At 36.4% G+C, this 23,659-nt stretch overlaps 1 long non-coding RNA gene across 1 annotated transcript in view; it reads right to left on the bottom strand.

The window, feature by feature from the left end:
* The window catches only part of LINC01111 (long intergenic non-protein coding RNA 1111), a 117,703-nt gene that overhangs the window by 81,215 nt on the left and 12,829 nt on the right, over positions 1–23,659 (bottom strand). The window contains exon 2 of the long non-coding RNA NR_105006.1: positions 9,391–9,501. This is a non-coding gene — a long non-coding RNA (long intergenic non-protein coding RNA 1111). The remainder of the gene's footprint in view (positions 1–9,390; positions 9,502–23,659) is intronic.

The raw sequence follows: 23,659 nt of genomic DNA, 5'->3' as shown, positions 1-23,659 counted from the left end.
TTTCCATGGTTATTTTGGATAAATTGTATAGTCCAGAAATGATATTGAATCCCCAAATTTTTTGGTAGTTTCCTTTCTAATAACCATTGCTCATTCTTGAATAGAGAAGAAATTGTCATACAAAATTTCCAATACTGTAATTTTTATTTTAAAATATATCACTTGTCTGATTAAAGATATATTACTATCTGGAATATTAAATTTTAAGTAACTATAAAACCTCTCTATAAATTCAATTTTTTATAGCAATTTAAAGACAAATAATTGGATACACTTTCTTATATTGTTATTTAAATTGTATACAAAATTCACAAAGTTGTTTTGACTGTCTCTTAGTAGTAGAAGTGAATTAAAACTATCTTGTTCAAAATTATGCTCAGAAATTAACCAAGGAATGTTAATTTCAATTTACCATGGTTAAATATGAACAATCATCAATATTCAGCAGTTAATTTTACATAGCCTCATGTTCTTTGCTTACCAATTTGTTATTTGAATTTGCATGTAGTTAAGTGTTTAGTGATGTTTATTGCCCTTTTATTATTTTTCAAATACGTTTTTTAGGAGGTGCTTCTAAGATGGCTGAATAGGAAGAGCTCCAGTCTACAGCTCCCAGCTATATCGATGCAGAAGATGGGTGATTTCTGCATTTCCAATTGAGATACATGGTTCATCTCCTTGGGACTGGTTGGACAGTGGGTGCAGCCCACGGAGGGCAAGCCAAAGCAGGGCAGGGTGTCATCTCACCTGGGAAGTGCAAGGAGTTGGAGAATTTCCCTTTCCTAGCCAAGGGGAGCCATGAGTGACTGTACCTGGAGGAACGGTACACTCCTGCCCAAATACTGCACTTTTCCCGTGGTTTTCACAACTGGCAGACCAGGAGATCCCCTCCTGTACCTGGCCCGGTGGGTCCCACGCCCATGGAGCCTTGCTCGCTGCTAGTGCAGCAGTCTGAGATTGACCTGGGATGTTGGAGCTTGACAGGGGCAGGGGCGTCCAACATTGCTGAGGCTTGAGTAGGCAGTTCTGTGCTCACAGTGTAAACAAAGCGGCAGGGAAGCTTGAACTGGGCAGAGCCCACAGCAGCTCAGCAAGGCCTACTGCCTCTCTAGATTCCACCTCTGGGGGCAGGGCATATCTGAATAAAAGGCAGCAGACAGCTTCTCCAGACTTAAACATCCTTGCCTGATAGCTGTGAAGAGAGTAGTGGTTCTCCCAGCATGATATTCGAGCTTTGATAATGGACAGACTGCGTCCTCAAGTGGGTCCCTGATCCCCATTGTAGCCTGACTGGGAGACACCTCCCAGTAGGGGCTGACAGTCACCTCATACAGGCGGGTGCCCCTCTGGGACAAAGCTCCCAGAGGAAGGATCAGGCAGCAACATTTGCTGTTCTGTAGCCTCCGATGGTGATACTCAGGCAAACAGGGTCTGGAGAGGACCGCCAGCAAATGCCAACAGACTTGCAGCTGAGAGGCCTGTCTGTTAGAAGGAAAACTAATAAACAGAAAGGAATAGCATCAACATCAACGAAATGGACATCCACAACAAAACCCCATCTGTAGGTCACCAACAGCAAAGACCAAAGGTAGATAAAACCACAAAGATAGGGAGAAACCAGAGCAGAAAGGCTGAAAATTCCAAGAACCAGAACACGTCTTCTTCTCCAAAGGAACACAACTCCTCACCAGCATGGGAACAAAACTGGATGGAGAATGAGTTTGATGAGTTGACAGAAGTAGGCTTCAGCAGGTTGGTAATAACAAACTTCTCTGAGCTGAAGCAGCATGTTCTAACCCATCGCATGGAAGCTAAAAACCTTGAAAAAAGATTAGACAAATGGATAACTTGAATAACCAGTGTAGAGAAGAGTTTAAATGACCTGATGGAGTTGAAAACCACAGTGCAAGAACTTCATGAAGCATAGACAAGCTTCAGTGGCTGATTCTATCAAGTGGAAGACAGGATACCAATGACTGAAGATAAAATTAATGAAATAAAGCGAGAAGACAAGGTTAGAGAAAAAAAGAGTGAAAAGAAACGAACAAAGCCTCCAAGAAATATGGGACTGTGTGAAAAGACCAAATCTACATTTGATTATTGTACCTGAAAGTGATGGGGAAAATGGAACCAAGTTAGAAAACACTCTTCAGGATATTATCCAGGAGAATTTTCCCAACTTAGCAAGGCATTAATACAGAGAACACCACAAAGACACTACTCAAGAAGAGCAACCCCAAGACACATAAGTGTCAGATTCACCAAGGTTGAAATGAAGGAAAAAATGTTAAGGGCAGCCAGAGAGAAAGGTCGGGTTATCCACAAAGGGAAGCCCCTCAGACTAACAGTGAATTTCTCTGCAGAAACCCTACATGTCAGAAGAGAGTGTGGGCCAATATTCAACATTCTTAAAGAAAAGAATTTTCAACCCAGAATTTCATATGCAGCTAAACAAATCTTTATAAGTGAAGGAGAAATAAAATCCTTTAGAGACAGAGAAATGCTGAGATATTTCATCACCATCAGGCCTGCCTTACAAGAGCTCCTGAAGTAAGCACTAAACATAGAAAGGAACAACTGGTACCAGCCACTGGAAAAACATGCCAAATGGTAAAGACCATCAATGCTATGAAGAAACTGCATCAATTAACAGGCAAAATAACCAGCTAACATCATAATGACAGGATCAAATTTACACATAACAATATTAACCTTAAATGTAAATGGGCTAAATGCCCCAATTAAAAGATACAGACTGGCAAATTGGATAAAGAGTCAAGACCCATCAGTGTGCTGTATTCAGGAGACCCATCTCATGTGCAAAGACACACATAGGCTCAAAATAAAGGGATGGAGAAAGATCTACCAAGCAAATGAAAAGCCAAAAAAAAAAAAAAAGAAAAACGAGGGTTGCAGTCCTAGTCTCTAATAAAACAGAATTTAAACCAACAAAGATCAAAAGAGACAAAGAAGGCCATTACATAATGGTAAAGGGATCAATTCAAGAAGAACTAACTATCCTAAATATATATGCACCCAATACAGGAGCACCCAGATTCATAAAGCAAGTCCTTAGAGACCTACAAAGAGACTTAGACTCCCACACAATAATAATGGGAGAATTTAACACCTCACTGTCAATATTAGACAGATCAACAAGACAGAAGGTTAACAAGGATATCCAGGACCTGAACTCAGTTCTGCAACAAGCAGACTTAATAGACATCTACAGAACTCTCCACCCCAAATCAACAGAATATACATTCTTCTCAGCACCACATCACACTTATTCTAAAATTGACCACATAATTGGAAGTAAAACACTACTCAGCAAATGTAAAAGAACAGAAATCATAACAAACTGTCTCTCAGACCACTGTGCAATCAAGTTAGAACTCAAGATTAAGAATCTCACTCGAAACCACACAACTACATGGAAACTGAACAACCTGCTCCTGAATGACTACTGGGTAAATAACGAAATGAAGGCAGAAATAAAGAAGTTCTTTGAAACCAATGAACAAAGACACAACGTACCGGAATCTTTGGGACACATTTAAAGCAGTGTGTAGAGGAAAATTTATAGCACTAAATGCCCACAAGAGAAAGCAGGGGAGATCTAAAATTGACACCTTAACATCACAATTAAAAGAACTAGAGAAGCAAGAGCAAACAAATTCAAAAGCTAGCAGAAAATAAGAAATAACTAAGATCAGAGCAGAACTGAAGGAGATAGAGACACAAAAGCCCTTCAAAAAATCAATGAAGGCAGCAGCTGGTTTTTGAAAAGATCAACAAAATAAACCCCTAGCGAGACTAATAAAGAAGAAAAGAGAGAAGAAACAAATAGACACAATAAAAAAAGATAAAGCAGCTATCACCACTGATCCCACAGAAATACAAACTACCATCAGAGAATACTATAAACATCTCTATGCAAATAAACTAGAAAATCTAGAGGAAATGGATAAATTCCTGGACACATACATCCTCCTAAGACTAAACCAGGAAGAAGTTGAATTTCTGAATAGGCCAATAACAGGTTTTGAAACTGAGGCAATAATTAATAGCCTAACAACCAAAAAAAGTGCAGGACCAGAAAGATTCACAGCCTAATTCTACCAGAGGTACAAAGAGAAGCTGGTATTATTCCCTCTGAAACTATTCCGATCAATAAAAAAAGAAGGAATCCTCCCTAACTCATTTTATGAGGCCAGCATCATCCTGATACCAAAGCCTGGCAGAGACACAACAAAAAAAGATGATTTTAGGCCAATATCCCTGATGAACATCAGTGCAAAAATCCTCAGTAAAATACTGGCAAACCGAATCCAGCAGCACATCAAAAAGGTTATCCACCACAATCAAGTTGGCTTCATCCCTGGGATGCAAGGCTGGTTCAACATACACAAATCAATAAACGTAATACATCACATAAAGAGAACCAACGACAAAAACCACATGATTATCTCAACAGATGCAGAAAAGGCCTTCAACAAAATTCAACAGCCTTTCATTGTAAAAACTCTAAATAAACTAGATATCAAAGGAACATATCTCAACATAATAAGAGCTATTTATGACAAACTCACAGCCAATATCATACTGAATGGGCAAAAACTGGAAGCATTCCCTTTGAAAACAGGCACAAGACAAGGATGCCCTTTCTCACTACTCCTATTCAACATAGTATTGGAAGTTCTGGCAAGGACAATCAGGCAAAAGAAAGCAATAAAGGGTATTCAAACAGGAAGAGAGAAAGTCAAATTGTCTCTGTTTGCAGATTACATTATTGTATATTTAGAAAACCCTATCATTGCAGCCCCAAATCTCCTTAGGCTGATAAGCAACTTCAGCAAAGTCTCAGGATACAAAATCAACGTGCAAAAATGACAAGCATTCCTATATACCAATAACAGACAAACAGAGAGCCAAATCATGAATGAGCTCCCATTCACAATTGCTACTAAGAGAATAAAATACCTAGAAATAAAACTTACAAGCGATGTGAAGGGCCTCTTCAAGGAAAACTACAAACCACTGCTCAAGGAAATAAGAGAGGACACAAACAAATGGAGAAACATTCCATGCTCATGGATAGGAAGAATCAATATCGTGAAAATGGCCATAATTCCCAAAGTAATTTATAGATTCAATGCTATCACCATCAGGCTACCACTGACTTTCTTCACAGAATTGGAAAAAACGACTTTAAACTTCATATGGAACCAAAAAGCCCATATAGCCAAGACAATCCTGGGTAAGAAGAACAAAGCTGGAGGCATCATGCTACCTGACTTCAAACTATTCTACAAGGCTACAGTGATCAAAACAGCATGGTACTGGTACCAAAACAGATATATAGACCAATGGAAGAGAACGGAGGCCTGAGAAATAAGACTACACATCTACTACCATCTGATCTTTGACAAACATGACACACACAAGCAATGGGGAAAAAATTCCCTATTTAATAAATAGTGTTGGGAAAACTGGCTAGCCATATGCAGAAAACTTAAACTGGACCCTTTTCTTATACCTTATACAAAAATCAACTCAAGATGGATCAAAGACTTAAACGTAAGGTCTAGGACTATAAAAATCCTAGAAGAAAGCCTGGGCAATACCATTCAGGACATAGGCATGAGCAAAGACTTCATGTCTAAAACACCAAAAGCAATGGCAACAAAAGCCAAAAATGACAAATGGGGTCTAATTAAGCTAAAGGGCTTCTGCACAGCAAAAGAAACTATTATCCGAGTGAACAGCAACCTACAGAATGAGAGAAAAATTTTGTAATCTGTCCATCTGACAAAGGGCTACTATCCAGAATCTACAAAGAACTTAAACAAATTTACAAGAAAAAAGCAAACACCCCATCAAAAAGTGGGCAAAGGATATGAACAGACACTTCTCAAAAGAAGACATTTATGCAGCCAACAGACATTTGAAAAAATGCTCATCATCACTTGTCATTAGAGAAATGCAAATCAAAACCGCAATGAGATACTGTCTCATGCCAGTTAGAATGTTGATCATTAAAAAGTCAGGCAACAACAGATGCTGGAGGGGTTGTGGAAAATTAGGAATGCTTTTACACTGTTGGTGGGAGTATAGATTAGTTCAACCATTGTGGAAGACAGTGTGGCGATTCTTCAAGGATCTAGAACTAGAAATACCATTTGACCTAGTAATCCCATTACTGGGCATATACTCAAAAGATTATAAGTCATTCTACTATAAAGACACATGCACAGGTACGTTTATTGCGGCACTTCACAATAACAAAGACTTGGAACCAACCCAAATGTCCATCAATGATAGACTGGATTAAGAAAATGTGGCACATATATACCATGAAATACTATGCAACCATAAAAAAGGATGAGTTCATGTCCTTTGCAAGGACATGGATGAAGCTGGAAACCATCATTCTCAGCAAACTATCACAAGATCAGAAAACCAAACACCACATGTTCTCACTCATAAGTGGGAGATGAACAATAAGAACACATGGAGACAGAGAGTGGAACATCACACAGCAGGGTCTGTGGGGGGTGGGGGACTAGGAGAAAGATAACATCAGGAGAAATACCTAATGTAGATGACGGGTTGATGTGTGCAGCAAACCACCATGGCATGTGTATACCTATGTAACAAAACTGCACATTCTGTACATGTAAACCAGAACTTAAATTATAATACAAAAAATACATTTTTTACTCTAGAACTTAGGAGTCTTAATATAATTGATGTATATAAGATTTCTCTTGATTAAGGCAGCAATTTATTTAAAAAAAAGTTGAATAGCTATAATCTGATTGCTTTTCTAGATGCAGATGTCACCTTTCCCCAGACTTAATAATTCTACCATCAGTACATGGCTAATTTTTCTCCAACCAGTAACTGTATTCTGAGGCTTTATTTATATCATTTAGTCTTCTACATTTGAACTTACAAACTTATACTCCAACAAATTTGATTCCATGTTAATCTATGGCATAATATTTTGATCACTTGTGTGCAATAAAGTCCTTCTTTTTTATGTGGCAGAAGAAATCTCCTGTATAATACAAACAACATTATCTCTAAAAGTGTGATACATCATCATACATGCAAAACCAAGCCGAGGTAGGCTAGACTGGCAGATTAGATGGACCACTTCAATTTTCCGTCAATCAAATTATAGTTTATTGTTCAGCTGAACTACCTCAGGCAACACAAATCTAAGAAACTGTCATTTTGGAAACATTACATTTTTTTCCTTGTCACATTATAACCCGAGCTATAGTCATAAAAAAGAATGTCATACCATTACTGGATCATAATATTCCTTATTTCAAGACCAGCTAATTCATACCTTTAAAGATTATAGTAGTATAGGAAATAATACCAGCCAACCATGTTGTTATTTTAATTATTTCCAAAATAATAATGATTCAAAAAATATTCAATTAAACACCGGATGATTGCCCAAAATGCTGGTTTAATAATAAGATTAGAGACAAGATTGTAATTCTTGATTCATCTAACATTTCAATTGTTTCATGCATAAAATAAATTTTTAAAAATTTAGCTAAAGATTCCATCTTTGAAAATAGAATAACTTTCCATTTTTAACCATTTTTACAACAGAAAAAGTGATTCATTGGTCAGATGAAAATTTTAACAAAAACAAGCAACAACAAAAATCTAACAGCCAAACATTAAAAACCTGATTACATTCTACCACCCACAAAAGTGTGTCAATACATTTTTCTGATATTTATTCTGCAAAGTTCCTCTTAGGTTGAAGAATTATCATAGATGCTGTTGCATTTTAAAAGCTTTCTTTCAGTTCATCTTAGATGTCTGAAATAAGCTGATGGCATTTCTACAGCTAGAAATATTTAGTTGAATGCATGCAACAGTGATGATTGCTTTTCTTTGTAGTAGAGGTATTACAATTTGGAAAGTGAGGAGGGAAAATGACAAAATAAATTTTATTCTCAAAATACAATTTCTTCAAAATTGAATGAGATATTTGTGCAAGAATGAACCTGGTTAAAACCATGGTGGTTTCCAGTTGCTATGGACTCATATTTATACTTAAAATGTGTTCATGATTACTTGATGAAGGCATAAACCTGCTCAAGAAATAACACTCATAAATAATACATGCTAAAGCATGAAGATAATCAGACAAGTTATAAGAATATACCTCCCTCCACAAATGTATGTCATTGCTACATTTCATGAAAGGCCATTTAATTGACTACCAGATAAAGGAATAAACCTGCTAAAAGAATAGATTTACTGTGCACTGAGGCAATGCATTGAAGAGGTCTCCACTGAATAAAAAACTAGTTCCATTGGCTGAGCTATCATATGTTCTTGAACGCATTGGGACTTATTAACTGAACTTTTATGTGCCTTTTATGCATCATTTATTTTTGAAAAATCAGGAATTTTCATGATAGCAATTACTTAGGCACTAAAGTCATGCGAAATTCCTGTGGTTGGTACCACAAAATCCACCCCAAGGAAAGAACTTACCCTCTTTTTAACACCTCTGGAGTTTAGGATGGAAAAAAAGGAAGTGGAATAACACCAAAGAAGGTGTATATGGCTCAGCTGAACGCTGTGGGTTTTCCTTAAAAAGGTAGCTTGAAGGCCTTACACTAACTCTTCTGTAGATTTTATTTTATTGGCATGGAAGTTAAAAAAAAACCAACAAATTCTTGAATCATTTTTTGCAAATATGATGATGATAACACCTAACACTTACTGAGAGTTTTCTATTTGCCTAAGCAAATTTGTAACATTTGTTTATTTGTACCATATTTGTGCAAATATGTCTATGCTTGGCATGACCATAAACATCTTCATTCTGTTCTATTTAGCCAAAATTTGTATTTGCCTGTTCTGCAATTCCTTCCCCGCATTGGAACTACAAAACCAATTGGCAATAAAGCTTTTTGGTTCAGCTTTGCTATAAAATTCAGAGTGTTTCTCAACACTATATAATTAAATGCAAATGCTAAGCTGTAATTATATTATGGATGTGACTAAAAGAGACTGAGGGAAGGAAATTCTTAGTTAAATCTGCTTCCACCTTGTTGTTTCTAGGTTTCGTGTGGTTTCATCTCTGCACTTTCACTCTGTATTTGATCCAAAATAACTTTTAAATACCTCATTAAGATTTAACTGAATGTGCAGGTTTTCAGTCTTCCCTCTGCAGGTCCCTGGACAAGAAGGATGAAATAGGATTCCTCTGTTGATGCATTGCAAAGTTCTATTCCATCCCCCTACTTATATTTTTTAGTTATGGACACACAAGGGGTTGAATGTACCAGCAGAGACTCTGAAATTGAAGACTCTTTGTAAAGAGCAGTGTCTGACATGGCTTACTTGCAAAGAGGATTCACATCATTAGACTTAGCCTTCATTTTCCTCCTTTCACTACACCTTAGTGTCTGCTCCCCATTCTCTCCTCTTTCCTTCTTCTGTTGCCATTTTTTCCTACAAAGATAGGAGCAATATGATGTCAGAAATCATAGTTACCATAGGAAAAAAAGGCACAGGGCAATTGAGAATTTAAATATCAACAGTTCTGATCAGCCTGACTTTTTATCTCCTGTACTGTGATTTTAAAGCTACTACTGGACTTATGTGAAGTGTGTCATGCCAGGTTGAGCAGCTATTATTTCCCACTTGCCCAAATTTTCCCCTGAGGCTTGAAAGGACAAGACCTGGGAAACAGGCTTTCTGAAATCCCTGGGTTCTCAGGCGGCATCTGTAGTGTTGGTCTGATTTAGATATTTAACTCTTCCTAGAATGCTAGAATTCTAGAGCTGGTTGGAAGTCTAAGTTAGCTAGTGTGAGATTCAGAGTTGGGCCCATGTCGCACAGTCTTTGAGTGATAGTGAGTGACTAAAGCCTGGTCCTCTAATACTTAGTTTAGGGCTTATTCCCATATTACAGTAGTTTCTAAATCTTGGCCATCAGCCCAGTGCTGGTGCAGGATAAAGCATGCATTAATCCTCAGCTAAATAGTAAAAAAGGCTGCAATAAGATGAATTTTTCATAGAGCAGACTTCATTCCATAGTAAGAGTGTCCTAACCTTTGATATGGCAGTGTCTGTTTTTGGGTGAAATTGTGGTGAAAGTTATTTATATTTCTTTTGCCTTTGTTTTAAAATGTCTTTTCTTGGTGAAATTAAAATATTGGCAGCCCAATGATGGAACTTATATATTTATTTGAAATGTTGTTGCTCCATGAAATCTAAAAATCTGGGAAACATTGCAGTAGGCCGGCTTCCTCCCCCTTTCGAGTCCCACATGGGCATTGCTGGGAGTCTCTCCTTCTTTTGGTTTTCTTCTTGGCAGAATATGTCCTATGATTCTTGGCTGGAGGCTGTGGAAACCTCTATGGATGGAAGGTTAGTGAGCCTGGGGTTCAGACTCAGCTCTCTCACCAATTAAGGTGCCACATTTGTCAAGCCATTAGGTTCCCTGGACTTCATTTTTTAAATTATATCAAAGAAATGGTGGTCAAGTTAACCTATAAGACTCTTAGCTGTCTTTCTCATGTGTGTATGTGTGTTTGTGTGTGTGTGTGTTTGTGTGTGTTTAGCATGTCCTGTTTTTGAGGCAGTGCTTGTGGATGAAAATTTTATCAGTTTGGACTAAAGAAGCATGGTGTAGAGAAGTGGGGATTAGGGAGAAGTAAAAAGATAGAAGAATCAATTTTATTCCCACAAAGAAGGTGAATCCTAACAAACAACATGCAGACCTCTGAATTGTTTGCTCTGTTTACTGAAGTACTCATGTCTGGTTTTGCTCCTTCCTTTACTTAAGTTTTGGTGCTCAGGTCCCTTGATATTTGAAGTATAAACTAAATCTGAACTTATGCACATGTCAAATGTGCTGGAATACATTCACTCTGTATATAAATTGTTGCTTTAATTGCAAGGACACTGGCATTGGGGGCTAAGAGCTAGGATTAGAATCCAGTGTTTTTAGTTTTTAGGTTGCTCCACATGAGTTGTCTAACTTTTAGACCTACATGGAGATACTGCCTTTCTTTGTGATGACTCTAATAATTAAATAAGGTTATAAACATAAACATGTATTGTAAACCGTAAAGAGCTATATATCCCAGTGGAGTGGGGGCAAAAAAAGAAACGAAAAAACAACCAAAAAAAGAACTATGTACATGTCAGACATTTATTAATGTATGTGATCTATATTTTATTTTACACATGATACACCTGATGGATTTATATTATATACAGAAGTATCTTTCTCTATTTCACAATTTTATATAATGACTGTATAGTCCTAGGATCGTCCCTGTTTCCTTCTTTCTCTTCTTTCTTTCTTCCTTCCTCTTTAAAATTTCTTTGTTTCTCCTTACTGTGCAGACCCTATAAAATTTTGTCTAGGTTTCATCTTTTGACTTTCTCACCTAGACTCAGGAGTCACTAAATACCCCTAGCTCATTTAAGCTTTTATGAGTCACCTTGTTGTCTGCAACATAAACTCTAAGTCTTTTAGTAAGGCACATCAAACCTTTTATAAGTTTACTCCAAAATATCTATCCATGCTTCTTCCTTGCCCTGTATTTCTCTGACACACTTTCAAAAGTCTGCCTTTTTGAACACTTCGTTATAGGCTGAAATTCCTACCGTCTCGCTTCATCTGACAAAGTCTTACTCATCCTACTGAAACCTGCTTTTCAACTCTCCTAAGCTGTGTTAGTCTCTCATCTGTGAACCCCGTGCACTCACCCCCACCAACATTGCTATGTGGTGACACATGTTATACTGTAAATTTCTATGGTATCCTTTATCAGAAGCTAGAAATTGTCTATTAGATTTTTTGTCTGTCATTACCTATTAAAATATCTGGCAGATAGCAGATACTTAGTCAATGTTTATGGGCAAATACATACAACATCAGTAATGTTGTATGTTTTGATATTGTTGATATTTTGTCACTTAGTGCTGGTCTAGTAAAATTCAATTAAGATCAGGGTTTCGCTTATTATTATTATTACTGTTGTTATTATTTTCCTCGTTTTTGTTTTTTACTTCCAAGCAACAAAATTGCTAAATTTTGAGCAATCATTTACAGTCTAGTATATTTGATCTTATTTTTACTATTAAATCACTGAAGTATGAGACATTGTTTAAAGTTCTCTAAATTATTCAACTGGACCAACTTGGCAACAATCCAACTGATTGCATGGTGAGCAATTTTCAACAGTAGATTTAGATTTCCATAGTAAAAGTGATCTCAGCATCTCTTAAAGCTTCCCCTTTATTATTAGCTGGAGTGTAACTAAATACATTATCTTACTTTTTATATGAATATTTCCTATGAAATTTCATGAAAAAGTAAAAAGAGGAGGCTAGAAAAAATTTTGCTTAATTCTCCTTGAAGAATGTCACAAGACAAGGATGCCCTCTTTCACCACTCCTATTCAACATACTATTGGAAGTTCTGGCCAGGACAATCAGGGAAGAGAAAGAAATAAAGTGTATTCGAATAGGAACTGAGGAAGTCAAACTGTCTCTGTTTGCAGATGACATGATCCTATATCTAGAAAACCCCATTATCTTAGTCCAAAAACTTCTTAAGCCGATAACCTCAGCAAAGTCTCAGAATACAAAATCCACGTGCAAAAATCACAAGCATTCCTATATACTGACAATAGACAAGCAGAGAGCCAAATCATGAATGAATTTCCATTCACAATTGCTACAAAGAGAATAAAATACCTAGGAATACAGGTAACTGGAAGTGAAGGACCTCTTCATGGAGAACTATGAACCACTGCTTATGGAAATAAGAGAGATAACAAACAAATGGAAAAGCATTTCATGCTCATGGATAGGAAGAATCAATATTGTGAAAATGGCCATACTGCCCAAAATAATTTATAGATTCAAAGCTATTCCCATTAAACTATCATTGACATTCTTCACAGAGTTAGAAAAAAAAACTATGTTAAAATTCATAGGGAACCAAAAACAAGCTTGTAAAGCCAAGATGATTCTAAACAAAAAGAACAAAGCTGGAGGCATCATGCTACCTGACTTCAAACTTTACCACAAGGCTAGAGTAACCAAAATAGCATGGTACTGGTACAAAAACAGACACATAAACCAATGGAACATAATAGAGATCTCAGAAATAAGACCACACATCTACAAGCACATGATCTTTGATAAACCTGGCAAAAGCAAGCAATGGGGAAAGGATTCCCTATTTAATAAATGGTGCAGGGAAAACTGGCTAGCCATATCCAGAAAATTGAAACTGGACCCCTTCCTTACACCTTATAAAAAAATTAACTCAAGATGGATTAAACACTTAAATGTAAAACCTCAAACCTAAAATACTTAAATGTAAAATCTAGGCAATACCATTCAGGACATAGGCATGGGCAAAGACTTCATGACTAAAACACCAAAAGCAATTGCAACAAAAGCCAAAATTGACAAATGAGATCTAATTAAACTAAAGATCTTCTGCACAGCAAAAGAAACTATCATCAGAGTGAACAGGCAACCTATAGAATGGGAGAAAATTTTTGCAATCTATCCATCTGACGAAGGTCTAATATCCAGAATCTACAAGGAACTTAAACAAATGTACAAGAAAAAACAAGCAGCCCCATTAAAAAGTGGGCGAATTATATGAACAGACCCTTCTCAAAGAAGACATACATGTGACCAACAAACATGAAAAAGAGCTCAACATCACTGATCATTGGAGAAATGCAAATCAAAACCACAATGAGATATCATCTCATACTAGTCAGAATGATGATTATTAAAAAGTCAAGAAACAATGGATGCTGAGGAGGCTGTGGAGAAATAGGAATGCTTTTACACTCTTGGTGGGAATGTAAATTAGTTCAACCATTGTGGAAGACAATGTGGCAATTCCTCAAAGACCTAGAACCAGATATACCATTTGATCCAGCAATCCCATTACTGGGTATTTACCCAAAGGAATAGAAATCATTCTGTTATAAAGGTACATTCACAAGTATGTTCATTGCAAGATTATTCACAATAGGAAAGACACGGAATCAACCTAAATGCGCATCTATGATAGACTGCATAAAGAAAATGTGGTACGTGTACACACCATGGAATAATATGCAGCCATAAAAAATGAGATCATATCCTTTGCAGGGACATGGATGGAACTGGAAACTGTTATCCTCAGCAAACTAACACAGGAACAGAAAACCAAACACTGCATGTTCTCACTTATAAGTGGGAGCTGAATAATGAGAACACATGGACATGGAGAGGGGAACAGCACATGCTGGGGCCAGTTGGGAGAGGGGTTCTTGTGGAAGGGAGAGCATCAGGGTAAACAGCTAATGCATGTGGAGCTTAATATGTAGGGGATGGGTTAAGTGCAGCAACACCATGGCACATGTTTATCTATGTAACAAACCTGTACATCCTGCAAATCTATCCCGGAACTTAAAATAAAATAAAAAAAAATTTTTTTTAAGTTGCTTAAAAATCCAGGGATTTGGACCTACAGATTTTTAAAGAATAATCATACTTTTTGAAATTGATAGTCACAATTAATTTTAGAAAAAGAATCTTGCCCACCTACCCACAAGCTTTAGCCACATAAATGAACTCGGTTGTAAAGTAATTAAGAAGTGAAACAGAGAACGACAATATTAAAGTTAGTAACAACAATATAATCGTATCACATAATAATTCATAGCGTTCTCACACACTGAGTTAAGTCTGGGTTCATGTACAGCTATAATTTTAAGCTTGTCATTTTATGAAATGGATTTGGAATGTATTTGGATAATGATTTCCACACATTCAAATATTTGTTGCAGCTCAACTTCCTCTTAAATCATCAACTGTTCAATGCTAATAGTTGCAATGAAAGTTGAAGGCCAAGTCAGAAAGAAAATTATATCTTTGACCTAATTTTGTCTTTCAGATTTTTTAACTGGGTTGACTTCTGGCTGTGTGTACATACAGAGGGTTGTGTGTATGTGTGTGCATGCACAGATTGGGGTAGGGAGGGGACAGTGACTAAAGAATTCTGATCTGAGTCTAACAGTTTCCAAATCTTAAAATAAATGTCGTTGACATAGTTGTTTATCCAACATTTCCTAACTGCTTCAAATACTTCATGGAATGTATGTGAAGAAACAAACAGAAAAACTAAATATTTTATTTCATTATTTGTTTATTATTTTATATGGGAATACCTTTGTCATAGTTCAGATTCCTTGGGAAACAGACTGAGAAATGCATGCAGGATGTTTTTTGGAAAGTGATCTGGGGAACAATTCCTGTGAGGAATTAGGAAGCAGGGTGTGGAGGGAGAAGGTGAATTGTAATGCATTTGCCACAGGGGCCATATTAAATCCCAGGAAGAGCTCTAAGGTGGGGATTGTTCCTCCCAGATGCCTGAAATAAGCAACCTGAGCCAGAATTTTTCCTTCCCCATCATCTGGTCATTAGTTATGAGCTTTTGCACTTTCTCCACAGCAAACCTAATAGGTGAATTACGGCTGATTTCTACTATTGTTTGAACTTCAAAATATTCACTTTATCCTATTTCTCTATTATATGGTAAAGATCTTAAAGGCTGAGTTAGGTCTATTTTGTTTGTTTTGAGACAGCATCTCACTCTGTCACCCAGGATGGAGTGCAGTGGCATGAACATGGCTCACTGTGCAGCCTCTATCTCCTGGGTTCCAGCAATCCTCCCATCTCAGCCACCCATGTAGGTGGAAGCACAAGGTGCACTCACCATGCCCAGCTAATTTAAAAATCTTTTTTTTTTTTTTTTGTAGAAACAGTGCCTCACGATGTCTCATGTTTGTCATGACATGTCAATATGGTATTGCTTCAGATAATATATAGGAAGAGATAGTTTGACTTTATTTGTGATACACAAAAATGTACAACATAGAACTAGGCAAAATGGCTTTCCAAATAAAAACCAAAACTAATTGATTAATAACTGAAAACACTACTTTTAACCTATTACACATAATAAACATGTAAATTTCAAAATATTATAATTGTCCTAAAATATTTTTAAATAAAATAGCTAAGTAAATCATAGGAGTAGAGAACTTTGCTCAATATAAATTTCATGTATTTCCCCCAAGGTTTGTATTGTTTTCCTCTAGAACTTTAAAAGGAAAAGCTAATGATAATTTGCAAAGTTTTAAGTCTTTAAATACAGTGATAACAAGCTAGTTGTGCATTTGAGTACTGGCCTCTATTCCAGTCCCATTTTACCTTTTAAAATTGAATTGGATTATAGAAAAATAAATAGGAGAGAAAACCTGGAATTGAATTCCATAATCACAGGAAACATGTGGATTCACTTAGGGCTACAGGTGTTTCTTGGGTAAAGGAGGGTACGGCCTGTTTCTGAATTGGTCCCTATTTGGGTCCAGAGGCATCCCGAATGTCAAGAAGACTGAGGTGGTGCCTAGGTATTGGAGATTGGATGGTGAGGGGTGTCAAAAATTTAATTTGCGATAATATTTTTGAGCTGTAAATCCACCAAGAACTTTCTCTGACAGCTTTTATGCTGAAAACCTCCACGGATGTTTCATTTTGAGAGACAGTGTAGTGTAGTTAAGAGCATGGATTCTAGAGTTGATCTGCTTGTGTTTAATTTCAAGATCCACTATTTATTTGCTGCACGTCCTTGCTCAACTTACTTACTTACTCTCTCTGTTCTTCTATTTCCTCATCTTCAGATGGCGGTAATATTATCTACCTCATAGTTGAGGTATTAAATTAGTTGATACAGGCAGGACACTTATGACAGTACATGGCATATAGCAAATATTTACATAGCACCTACTAGTATTATTTACCAGCCTTTAGCTTAAATTAATACCAGTCATATTTATGAAATACCAGTCCCCTTCCTTGATTAAAAAGACAAAATTGACAAATGGGATCTAATTAAACTAAAGAGCTTCTGCACAGCAAAAGAAACTACCATCAGAGTGAACAGGCAACCTACAACATGGGAGAAAATTTTTGCAACCTACTCATCTGACAAAGGGCTAATATCCAGAATCTACAATGAACTCAAACAAATTTACAAGAAAAAAACAAACAACCCCATCAAAAAGTGGGCGAAGGACATGAACAGACACTTCTCAAAAGAAGACATTTATGCAGCCAAAAAACACATGAAGAAATGCTCATCATCACTGGCCATCAGAGAAATGCAAATCAAAACCACTATGAGATATCATCTCACACCATTTAGAATGGCAATCATTAAAAAGTCAGGAAACAACAGGTGCTGGAGAGGATGCGGAGAAATAGGAACACTTTTACACTGTTGGTGGGACTGTAAACTAGTTCAACCATTGTGGAAGTCAGTGTGGCGATTCCTCAGGGATCTAGAACTAGAAATACCATTTGACCCAGCCATCCCATTACTGGGTATATACCCAAATGAGTATAAATCATGCTGCTATAAAGACACATGCACACGTATGTTTATTGCGGCACTATTCACAATAGCAAAGACTTGGAACCAACCCAAATGTCCAACAATGATAGACTGGATTAAGAAAATGTGGCACATATACACCATGGAATACTATGCAGCCATAAAAAATGATGAGTTCATATCCTTTGTAGGGACATGGATGAAATTGGAAACCATCATTCTCAGTAAACTATCGCAAGAACAAAAAACCAAACACCGCATATTCTCACTCATAGGTGGGAATTGAACAATGAGATCACATGGACACAGGAAGGGGAATATCACACTCTGGGGACTGTGGTGGGGTCGGGGGAGGGGGAAGGGATAGCATTGGGAGATATACCTAATGCTAGATGACACATTAGTGGGTGCAGCGCACCAGCATGGCACATGTATACATATGTAACTAACCTGCACAATGTGCACATGTACCCTAAAACTTAGAGTATAATAAAAAAAAAAAAAAAAAAAAAAAAAACCAGCTCCCCATACATCTAGTTAACAACCCAAAGTCTGTATCTACCACTAAACATGGCAACTTAGTCATTTACCAACTTAGGTTCACATTCAGTGGAAAGAAAATAAGTGATAAGGTAAAGTTTAGGAAGAACTGACCCACTTATGCCTAGTGTTCCATTATTGGAGTGCTAAGAATGTGAGAGTTTTTTATATCCTGCTGCTCAAGGTTATTACCAAGGTCTGATTTTTTCACTCATGTAAAAGTTCAAAAAATGGCAACCTCTGGCATAAATGGGTTAATAATAGCCAGGGACAAAGGTGATGGACGCAGATGCAGGAGATCAAGTGCTATTTTTGGCACAAAGTTACTCACTGTCTCCGGGTGATACTCTGTTGAGATTACCTGGTCACTGAAATCTCAGACTGACTTTCCAGCTGGATTTTACACAGTATGAGACAATAATTTTTATGAAACAGGGAAAGGGTAATTCATAGCAAGTGTGATGTGGCTATTTATACATATGTGTATGTATATGCTCCCACACATATTTATAAACTAATTTGTACTAGATAAAATTAATGCATAATTGACTTATTTTTTAGGTGACAAAATAGTGAAGCAAAAGTTTAAATATACCATGCTAAACTTACAAAATAGAAAGTACAAGAATTTTCCCACGTATTTTTCTCTATAAAATTTTTGAAAATTTACTAAACATATTGTTAACCTGGCTCATGTAAGTTTAGATTTTCATATAAATAGAAGACATAATTACTCTAGAAATGCATGTGCCCATAATTGCATTTTAAAACTTTTGCTTTTATAATTGCTGCTTCTGAGGATTTCTCACATGCACACACACACACACACACACACACACACACACACAAATTGTTACTTAGATTAGCCAAACATCATATGATCTACCACTTTTCTTAAATCTAGTGACCATTTTTTAGGCTCTTCGGACATGACTCTGTCAGGCTTTTGCAATAGAGAGACTTTTAGTTTATTTATTTTGCGATTAAAATAACATGTCCAGAGTCAGGAGTAGGTCTATGTGGTAAGTACATCTGGGTTTTGTGTACTCTGGACTGGTGATTTTCTGAGCAGGGATTCACTCTGTGCATTTGAAATATAAAAATGCAGTAGAAGTGGAAAAAGAATGTTTGTGTGTTCTTTTGGCCTCAAAACATTCACAGCCCATCATGCCACTCAGGCAGTTATTTGGGATAACAGAATTTATTTATTTTTCTTTTATTTTTTTGTGTATGTAATAACTATATTTCAGTGACAGGTTTTACTTAATATCTATTTTTAATACATTATTTTAGTTATCTATCAAATAGTGAAGAAAATGCAACAGAATGCATACTTTTTCCTCTTTAAAAATGGGTGATTTTAGGCATGAGAGTCAAAGGATAATATGAATTAATTTATAAATTAGAGTCTGGGTTCCACATGTTTCTTGGCTAAACAAATTGGAACAAGACTTGATTTTTTAAGTGTTTCTTTTGTATGTGTATGTAACCTTCTTTATGTAAGGTGTTTTGCCTTTGACTATGAGCCCCAGCTTTATTTTATTTAATAAGGATATAATTCCTCTACTAAAGGAAGATTTGCAAAAAAAAAATCACTAAGTTACCAAAATAAATATTAAAGTTGTTATTTTCTTCTTATTTCTAAAACTATTACTGGTTTTTTCCACCATGTATGGATTCTTTATGAAGAAAATAGAAAAGTTTTCATGTATCTATTAGTGTTACCGATAACCTTTATAGAAGTTATTGGACTAACTTTATAATTTAACTTTATAATTTGTAGACCAAAAAAAAAAAAAGAGTTTTCTGACATTGATAGAAAATAAAAAGTCTTCTAATTCCCAGGCTAGCTATTTAAGACTGAGCAGGGGACATAAGGAGCCAGAGCAATAGATACTCTATTTATTGTGAATTAGTCAGAAAAGGCAGAGCACAAAGGTCTGGTTTCCATAGTTCATGAATTCTGGATAATTTATGTACCTAAAATCATTCCATTGTTACGTTATCTTGACTTTACGAAACTGATTTTTATTAATAACTCCAGCAATGATGTGTGTCAATATGTGATAAAATAACCTTAAAGAAGTTAAGATGAGTAGCTTTAGTAACCACACATTTTCTATGGTTTTCTCGTTTTCTGAACTAGTTTAGAAATGTATATAAATTAAAATTGAATTATCTTGGATAATGTTTTAATCTTTGTCATATAAGAAATAGTACAAGAGAGATCTTTACTCACAGTTTTTCAATCCTTGTGGCTCCAATAATGCACCAGAGAGAAATAAAACTATAAAAATGTCAAAACAACTTTTGGGACTTTAACAAAGTGTGTGAAAGAAAGAATGATTAAAAAAAAAGGTAAGCTTTTCAGTGATTTATTTTAAGTAATTCAATCTATACTAAAGATTGAGTTAAAATTTAAAACTAAAGCTGGCATATTATAACATGGTAGATAGAAAATCAAGAATTGAAAGAACTGCTAAAAATATTTAAGCAAATTACAACTTAGAAACAACTTGAAGACTTTTTTCCACATGACTTTTCACTAGACTCTAAAATATAATAGCCTTTCAATAAAGATAAGTGTCAGTGCAACATATAAATATACATGCAACAAAGTAATATTGCTTTGGGTAGTGAACAATGACAAATAATCATTTATTTTTATAAAGGACGAGACCTATGCCGGTGACTATTACGACCCACTGAATGCTTATGATGCTGGGCCTCATTGTAATAAGAAAAAAAATCCGCCCCCCCGCGCAAATCCCATATTTTTAGCTCTATCTACTGACATTGTGTTACTTCATTACTTGGTTGTTTACAGTACGTTTCAAGGAAATAAAGAATTAAAAATATAAAAATGATCCATCATAGCATATAGGCTGGCTATAGTGGGAAGTGAGGATAGTAGGGAATGGATACATAGAATGCATATAGAAGAGTGCATGGCAAGAAGTAATAAAAAGACAAAAACAGTTTCAGTGACATAATGACGTTATGATGCAAGCTGGAGGTATCAGAGGTTGTGTTCAGAAATGGGAAATTTCAATTGAAAGTATCAGAGGTAGTGTGTGGTCCAAATGTAACCACAGCACTGAATGAATGTATCACTGTGTAAGGCTCATAAATTTAGATGTTACTGTGATTTATGGATAACTCACAAATATGATGATTTCACCAAAAGGATGGTGAGGTTTAGAAAACGCCAGAAAACTTGACCTGTCTCCAACAATCTTAAAAAGTGAGAAGTATGTCAGTCTATGAGAGTTTTCAGGTAATATAGCTTACTGCCATAAAGTAGAATGATAATTGACTTTAAAGTTCTTAGGCCTGAACCGCCTTCCCAAGTTAGAACACAGACTGAGTACGTAAGAAAATCATAGCCCTGAAACTTGGTTGTTTATCAGGATGTCTCAGCTCTGCTAAAGTCGAGGTACAAAGCATGTATAAGAGGTATGCTGCAGGTTTCCCACTCCAGGAAGTCTACACCCTGAGTATACCCAGTTAATTCATGACTGCTGTTCCTTCAGATGAAGGGACCATCCTATTCATCCTGGTCCCCTCTGTCTCCAGAGAAGAAACTCTTCTGCCTTATATGTCAGTGTGAGTCCTCTAAGATGCACACAGATATCAAGACAAACTTGGTTATAAAAGAGATTTATCGGTAGAAGTCACTGTGAAGACTAAAAGGGAGTGGGAAGAGGAAAGAGAAGGCAGAGAGAGCTCTTAGACCTCAATGCATGTCTAATACCTTTGATAGGAGAGGGAAAGAAGAAGGATCAGGTAGAAAGAGCCTGGGTCTATAGTTAGGTTCAGAAAAGCTTGGCCAGGCTGCGGGGATGCCCCACAGCAAAGTTTCCCCTGTGAGGAGTTCCGCCTTGGGCAGACCTGCCATGCTGTGGTACCTCTGCTTGCTGTGTTCAGTTATGACTGGGAGCAGGCTATGGAGCACAGCCTCAGCGTTAAAGCTACAGGTGATCGGAAGGGGCAGCAGCTGGAGGTCGTCAGTTGACTCTGCAGGTGCAGCATGTTCCCTTCAAGGCAGATCAGAAGGGTGAACCTCAAAGGCCATCACACTTTTAGGAATTCAGCTGCCTACAAAGACCACATGCATGGGCACACTCTAGATGATCCCTGAGCAAACCACATGCTGTGCTCAGAGTATGAGGAATGCAATTGAAGATCATGTCTATAGTCACCTTTAACTATGGAATTTTGGTTCAGTGATCTATTCAAAAGATACTTATTGAGCATCTACTGTGTCCTTGGTACTGAGGATACAGCAGTGAAAAACAAATCAGAGAACACAACAAAAGGACCGTAAATTTAATACCTCTACTCTTATTCCATCTTTCATCTAATTGTTGTATAGTTTCAACTCTTTAAATTTTAAAAATACATGATTTTTACTTTTACTGTTTTTACTTTTTAATCTGTGTTTATTTAGATTTAGCTTTGGTTTTTGCTCAGTATAGCATTATACATCCCACCCCTTCTGTTTTTTTCCCTTTAAATTAATGATGTACATATGTTAGTAATTTTAATGATGGTATGAGTATAAAATTGTTCCTTTTGTATGAAAATGTTTTTAACTTTGAATGGTAGTCTATCTGGGTATAAAGTTATTATTTGATAGTCATTTGCTCTTGGGAGTTTAGAATTATTATGTCTTTTTATTTTTTACTGTCTTTCCTTTTTTTGAGACAGGGTCTTGCTGTGTTTCCCAAGCTGGTCTCAAAACTCTGGGCTGAAAGTATCCTCCCATCCCAGCTTTCTGAGTATCTGGCATTACACGCTAAAATTGTTTTTCTGTTATTGCTTCTGCTACTGATGATGAGTATCTTTGTTTTGTTCAGTTTCACTAGATATATCTGAGTGTAGATTTGTTTTTACTTATATAACACTTGGATTGGTATGATTCTATCTGTGTGGAAATCTAAAGTTTTTTGTGTCTTTGAATATTTCCTCTCCTTTTATTTTATTTTATTTTTATTTTTTTGAGACAGTGTCACTCTGTCACTCAGCTGGAGTGCTGTGGCATAATATCAGCTCACTGAAACCTCTGCCTCCCAAGTTCAAGTGATTCTTGTGCCTCAGCCTCTCAAGTAGCTGGGATTACAGGGGTGTGCCACCACACCTGGCTAATTTTTTGTATTTTTAGTAGATATGGGTTTTTGCCATGTTACCCAGGCTGGTCTTGAACACCTGGCCTCAAGTGATCCACCCGCCTTGACCTCCTGAAGTGCTGAGATAACAGGCGTGAGCCACTGCACTTGGCCTCCTCTCACATCTTTTATAATTACTTCTTTTCAGCCGTCTGTTAAATATATATTGGATTTGCTTATTCTGTCCTTCACAACCTCAAATTTTCTCAAATTTTTCTTATCTCATTCTAGGTAAATTTCACAGACAAACCTTCCAGCACAAATTAACTTTTTAGCTGTATTTAATATGGTGTTTAAATCATTCATTGAATTTTAAATTTCAGTATTTTTTTTCTAGACATTCTATTCTTCACAGTGAGCTGTCATTTTATTAAGGTTTCTATTTCATTTTTATTTCTTTCATTAATATTTGTATAGTATCATCTTTCAAATTATTTGTCTCAAGTTATTATAAGTCTGTCTTATCGTATAGC

This window comes from Homo sapiens, chromosome 8 (genome assembly GCF_000001405.40).
Source record: "Homo sapiens chromosome 8, GRCh38.p14 Primary Assembly".
Lineage (NCBI taxonomy): Eukaryota > Metazoa > Chordata > Mammalia > Primates > Hominidae > Homo > Homo sapiens.
Note: the sequence above shows the minus strand (reverse complement) of the source record. Positions and strands in the feature narration are given on the sequence as shown.